Raw genomic sequence first — 6,190 nt, 5'->3', positions numbered from 1 at the left:
TGGAAGTGGACTGTAGGAAGCTGGATGACTGGGTCTCCACAAAGCCAGACTGATCCCCAAAATGCTCCAGAGGCTCCCCATCACTCATAGGAAATGCTGATTTTCTTACAGTGGCTTGTAGGACCCTAAACAATGTCCTCATCACCACCTGTACTGTGCTGATCTCTCCTTGACAACCCTCCTTAGCACTTTCTCTGCTGTAGCCATCCTGGCCTCCTTGATGCTCCCAAACACTCCAGGTATGCTCCTGCCTCAAGGCCTTTGACTGGCTCTTTCCTCTGTCCTGAATGATAACTTCTCAGTGGGAGGATGCCCTGACCACCCTAGTTAAACTTGTAACTCACTCCTCAACACTCCTTATCCCACTTTCCCGCTTTTTTTTTCCCCATCTACTTTCCACAAACATAGGGATTTTGTTCTGTTTTGTTTCTGCTGTATTCCTAGACCCTAAAATAAGGCCTGGCACATAGTAGGCCCTCAATAAATATTTGCTGAATTAAAACAGACAGAACAAACAAATATCCACAAAGACAAAGTAAGGCCAGGAATCAAGAGCCAAATAATCAGTTCAAAATCAGGGAAATCCAGGTGCCAAGGTAAGCAAGGAAGAGGGTAGGACCTGGCATGTTAGAAATGAAGTGTAAAGAGTCTGGACATCTTGGCTCACACCTGTAATCCCAACACTTTGGGAGGCTGAGGCAGGCAGATCACTTGAGGCCAGGAGTTTGTGGCCAACCTGGCTAACATGGTGAAACCCCATTTCTACTAAAAATACAAAAATTAGCAAGACATGGTGGCACGTGCTTGTAATCTCAGCTACTTGGGAAGCTGAGGTAGGAGAATTGCCTGAACTCGGGAGGCGGAGATTGCCATGAGCCAAGATTGCGCCACTGCACTGCATCCTGGGTGACAGAGTGAGACTCCATCTCAAAAAAAAAGTGAAGTGTGAAGAGACAAGACCCAGCTGAGAATTAATCTAGAAAGCACTGCTCTTTGGAGATCAATTATGAGAGCACACTGGACCTGGTTATCATGAACAGACTTCCTTGATGCCACGCTGGATGAAAGGAACTTGGGGAACCAGGATGGGTAAATTTGTGCTCTAGCCAGAGAATGAAGCACTGAGTCAAGAGGCAGAGAAACAAACCAAGCAGACATCAAGACTGGAAAAGCTCTGTAGATAGAAATCTGGAAAGATGAATGAACAGAGTAAGTTAGAATGGAGTGAGCAGAGACAGAGAGGTGTACAAGGTAAGCCTGTGGACAGATAGGGTTGAATAACCTTCATGAGTACAGGATTCACCTAACCCTTAAATGATATTTCCCAGTCTTTCACCTCAAGCCCTCTACCTGTTCACTCCAATCTCCCCTGGGCCAAGTCCTTTTTCAGGGTCCTAGTGGCTGCCTACATACTGGATGACTGAAATCTCAATGTCCAGTCTGACTGCCATCTCTGCCAGCCTCAGACTCCAGCTTCCGACCTATTATGTCTCACAATCGTCTCAAATTCAGCATGTCCCAAACCAGTGTTCTTACCTAATGAGAACCTCTTTCTCTTTCAACCTCAGCTGATGACATTTCCACTCATTCCCCAAAGCCAACAGGTCAAACATGAGGCATTGGCAGAACCTAGATCATCTGCCTAAGAAGCAGAGATTGGGTGCTATGAAGAAGTGACCCCCTCAATGGGCCAGACACTGTGCCTGGTGCTTCTCACAAATGACCTAATTTTGCCCTAACAGCATCCTTGCCAACTGAGAATTATTATCCCCAGCTTACATATGAGAAAACTGGGGTTAGGGAAATTGACCAAGGTCATTTAGCTTCCAACTGCGGGAGACGGGTGGGTTCTCTTTTTAGCCCAGTGTACTCTCGTACCAATAAGCCCCATGGCACCAGCATGAGGACTCATTGCTTTTTTCTTTTTTAATAAGTTATTGAGGTAAAATTCAGATAACATAAATACTTAAAAGTAAACAATTCCATAGCATTGAGTATATTCGCAATATTGTACAACCATCACCTCTATCGAATTCCAGAAACATTTTCATCTCGCCAAAGTAAAATTCCTTACCCACTAAGCAGTTTCTCCCCTTTCCACCTTTTCCCAGCCCCTGGCAGGACTCACAGCTCTGAAGCCAGCTTTTTTCCTACTAGATACCCTACATACCTTCCAGCTAGATCAAAAGCAGATTCTTGTCTGCTTTTGATCTAGCAAGAAGGTATGTAGGGTATCTAGTAGGAAAAGCACCCTGGGAGGCTAAGGCAGGAGGATCACTTGAGCTCAGGAGTTCAAGACTAGCCTTGGCAACACATTGAGATGCTGTCTCTACAAAAAAAATTAAACATTAGCCAAGTGTGGTGGTGCATACCTATAGTCCCAGCTACTTGGGAGGCTGAGGCAGAAGGGTTGCTTGAGACCAGGGGGTGGAACCTGCAGTAAGCCATGATTGTGCCACTGTACTCCAGCCTGCGTGACAGAGAGAGAACTTAAACAAACAAAAACCTCATAGATTCTGACAAAAAAGACACGATGCAAAATAATACTGGTGTGAGGGGCAATTACGGGAGACACTCATTTATGTTTTGTCTTCTCTGTTTAGGAGGTGTGGTGTAAGGAGTGACATTTCGGCCCCTCACACTGTTTATTCTTTTGCAGGTGGGTGAGATAGAAGTCTATAAAGGGGAAAGAGAAGAAGCTGATGCTGAAACTTAAGAGATATTTCTCCAAGACTAGAGAAAGACAAGAAGAAGGAGCCTCTGAGAGTGATAAGAGGCCCAAGGTTTGCATGCATGGAGCACCAGTAAGAGATGGCTTCAGGAAGCCAGAGAGCTAGGCCGGGGACACAGATACCTTGGGAACCACAGCGAGAGTGTCCGTGGGCTGAGGCAGTGGTCAGTGGAGAGACCCATTGAGAGGTGACAACATGCTAGTAGCCCTGCCTCGCTCTCGGCACCTCCTCAAGCCACGGTGTCCACTCTGGCCGCGCTTGAGGAACCCTTCTGCTTGCAGGGAGGTGTGGAGGGAGAGGCGCGGGCGGGAACCGGGGCCGTGCCCCGTGCTCGCCGGCCAGCGCGAGTTCCGGATGGGCGTGGGCTCGGCGGGCCCCGCACTTGGAGCGGCCGGCCGGCGCCACCGCACCAGTCAGTGAGGGGCTTAGCACCCGGGCCAGCAGCTGCAGAGGGTGCGCCGGGTCCCTCAGCAGTGCTGGCCCACCGGGTCGGCGCTCGAATTCTCGTCGGGCCTCAGCTGCCTTCCTCCCCCGGCTCCCCCGACTCCCATGGCTGGCGACTGGCAGCCCGCCATGCGCGAGCCCCGGAGCCCCGCCGCCCCGCCCCCTCCCCACCCCCTGCTCCGCGGCGCCCGGCCCCATCGATGCCCAACGGCTGAGGAGTGCGGGCACATGGCGGGGCACTGGTGGGCAGCTCTGCCAGCAGCCTTGGGGCGGGAATCCACTAGGCAAAGCCAGCTGGGTTCCTGAGTGGAGTGGGGACTTGGAGAACTTTTATGTCTAGCTGGAGGATTGTAAATGCACCAATCAGCACTCTGTGTCTAGCATTGGTGGGGGGCAGGGGTTCGTAGACGCACCAATCAGCACCCTGTGTCAAGCTCAAGGTTTATAAATGCACCAATCAGTGCTCTGTGTCTAGCTAATCTAGTAGGGACTTGGAGCACTTTTATGTCTAGCTAGAGGATTGTAAATACACCAATCAGCACTCTGTGTCTAGCTCAGGGATTGTAAACGCACCAATCAGCACCCTGTCAAAACGGACCAATCAGCTCTCTATAAAACAGACCAATCAGCTCTTTGTAAAATGGACCAATCAGCTCTCTGTAAAATGGGCGAATCAGCAGGATGTGGGTGGAGTGAGATAAGGGAATAAAAGCAGGGTGCCAGAGCCAGCAGCGGCAATCTGCTTGGGTCGTCTACCATGTTGTGGCAGGTTTGTTCTTTTGTTCTTCCTAATAAGACTTGTGGCTGCTCACTTTTTGGAGCCTTGCTGCCTTTATGAGCTGTGACACTCACCTGAAGGTATGTAGCTTCACTCCTGAAGCTAGTGAGATCATGAACCCACTGAGAGGAATGAACAACTCCAGTGCTGCCTTAAGAGGTGTAACACTCCCAGCGAATGTCTGTAGCTTCACTCCTGAAGCTAGTGGGACCAGGAACCCAGCAGAAGGAAGAAACTCCGAACACGTCCAAACATCAGAAGGAACAAACTCCAGTCACACTATGTTTAAGAACTGTTAACAGTCACCATGAGGGTCTGCAGCTTGATTATTGAAGTCAGTGAGACCAAGAACCCACCAATTACGGACATACCATGGGAACAGTGTCCCTCAGCCTGCTGAAAGAATCCCTGTGCAAGGGCAGGGAGGGCTGGTCTGAGTAACAAAGTCCTGTAGCAGAGCAGACTGAGGCAATGAAACCCAATGCTTCCAGTTAAGACTGGGCCCCGCCCCACTGGCTGGATAGGACAACGACCCTTCCCAACTTCGATTATATTTTCTGTATTTATTTATTTATTTTGAGATGGAGTTTTGCTCTTGTTGCCCAAGCTGGACTACAATGGCATGATCTTAGCTCACTGCAACCTCCACATCCTGGGTTCAAGCGATTCTCCTGCTTCAGCCTCCTGAGTAGATGGGATTACAGGCAAGCGCCACCAGGCCCAGCTAATTTTTTGAATTTTTAGTAGAAACGGGGTTTCACCATGTTAGCCAGGCTGGTCTCAAATTCCTGACCTCAGGTGTTCTGCCCTCCTTGGCCTCCCAAATTGCTGGGATTACAGGCGTGAGCCACTGCGCCCAGCTTATTTTGAAGAGGAACTACTCAGACTGTGTTCTCTCCCTTTTACTCTCCCCAAGGAAGCGAAGAAAATTATCAATAGAAAATGGCAGGCCGAGCATAGTGGCTCATACCTGTAATTCCAGCACTTTAAGAGACTGAGGCAGGTGGAATACTTAAGGTTAGAAGTTCAAGACCACCCTGGCCAACAGAGCGGTTTTCATTTAAAAAAAAAAAAAAAGCAAGTTTATTAAGGTAAATGAATAAAACAATGGCTACTCCATAGGCAGAGCAGCTGAAACCCTGTCTCTACTAAAATACAAAAATTAGCCAAGCGTGGTGGCACATGACTATAGTCCCAGCTACTCAGGAGGCTATGGCAGGAGAATCGCTTGAACCCGGGAGGCAGAGGTTGCAGTGAGCTGAGATCGCACCACTGCACTCCAGACTGGGCAACAGAGTGAGACTCTGTCTCAAAAAAAAAAATCAATAAGTAAAATCTTAAAGTAGCAAATGACAGTTGCAGCCAAGTAATTCCAAAAGCCAGCTTCACTCGGAGAACCCTGTGCTTCCTCTTATTTCCAGCGATCCACATATTTAGAGAAACTTTTCCAGTAATAAACCATAGAAATTATACCTGGAAGTAGAGTCTTCAACTTGGATTTTTAGGTGACCCTAACAAAAGGGGGAAATTTCCCAAAACATATCCGAAATGGACTTTCTCACTGCTTTGGCTAGTCGAGGTTAAGAATCAGAGGTAATTTTAGAACATATAGATGAGGTGACAACTCATACACCCAAGTATGTAGAGCAACTCATATCTACCCCACTGCATTTGGAGGGAAAGTGTTTCCCTGGTGAACTTGTGAGTATAAATAGATGGAAGAAGATGTACTCAAAACAGCAAACTTCTAATTATACAAAATGTTATATTTTCTGCTTAGTGAAGCCACATCCATGTAGATTATGATGCTCTAATCATTACACCTGTCAACACAATGAAATAGCTCAAATCTCTGAAAAACTTTGCTTCACTCTTAATGATGTCAAAAATTACAACTCAAATTAAATCTTCATGTCTCTAATGAAACCTCAACTCTGCAAATTTCCTTATTTAAAAATGCTGTTTTAGCCAAAGAAATGTTTCAAAAATTCTGTATTCAGGCCAGGCACGGTGGCTTACGCCTGTAATCCCAGCACTTTGGGAGGCCAAGGTGGGTGGATTGCTTGAGGTCAGGAGTTCGAGACCAGCCTGGCTGACATGGTGAAACCCCGTCTCTACTAAAAATACAAAAAGCCGGATGTGGTGGTGCATGCCTGTAGTCCCAGCTACTCAGGAGACTGAGGCAGGAGAATCACTTGAACGCAGGAGGCGGAGGTTGCAGTGAGCCGAGATTGTG

The 6,190-nt window shown here is 47.9% G+C and overlaps 1 pseudogene; it reads right to left on the bottom strand.

The window, feature by feature from the left end:
- Nucleotides 1-5,245: 5,245 nt before the first annotated feature.
- On the bottom strand, nt 5,246-5,443 carry LOC124900925 (uncharacterized; annotated as a pseudogene).
- Nucleotides 5,444-6,190: the final 747 nt, after the last annotated feature.

This window comes from Homo sapiens, chromosome 4 (assembly GCF_000001405.40).
Source record: "Homo sapiens chromosome 4, GRCh38.p14 Primary Assembly".
Taxonomy (NCBI): Eukaryota; Metazoa; Chordata; class Mammalia; order Primates; family Hominidae; genus Homo; species Homo sapiens.
Note: the sequence above shows the minus strand (reverse complement) of the source record. Positions and strands in the feature narration are given on the sequence as shown.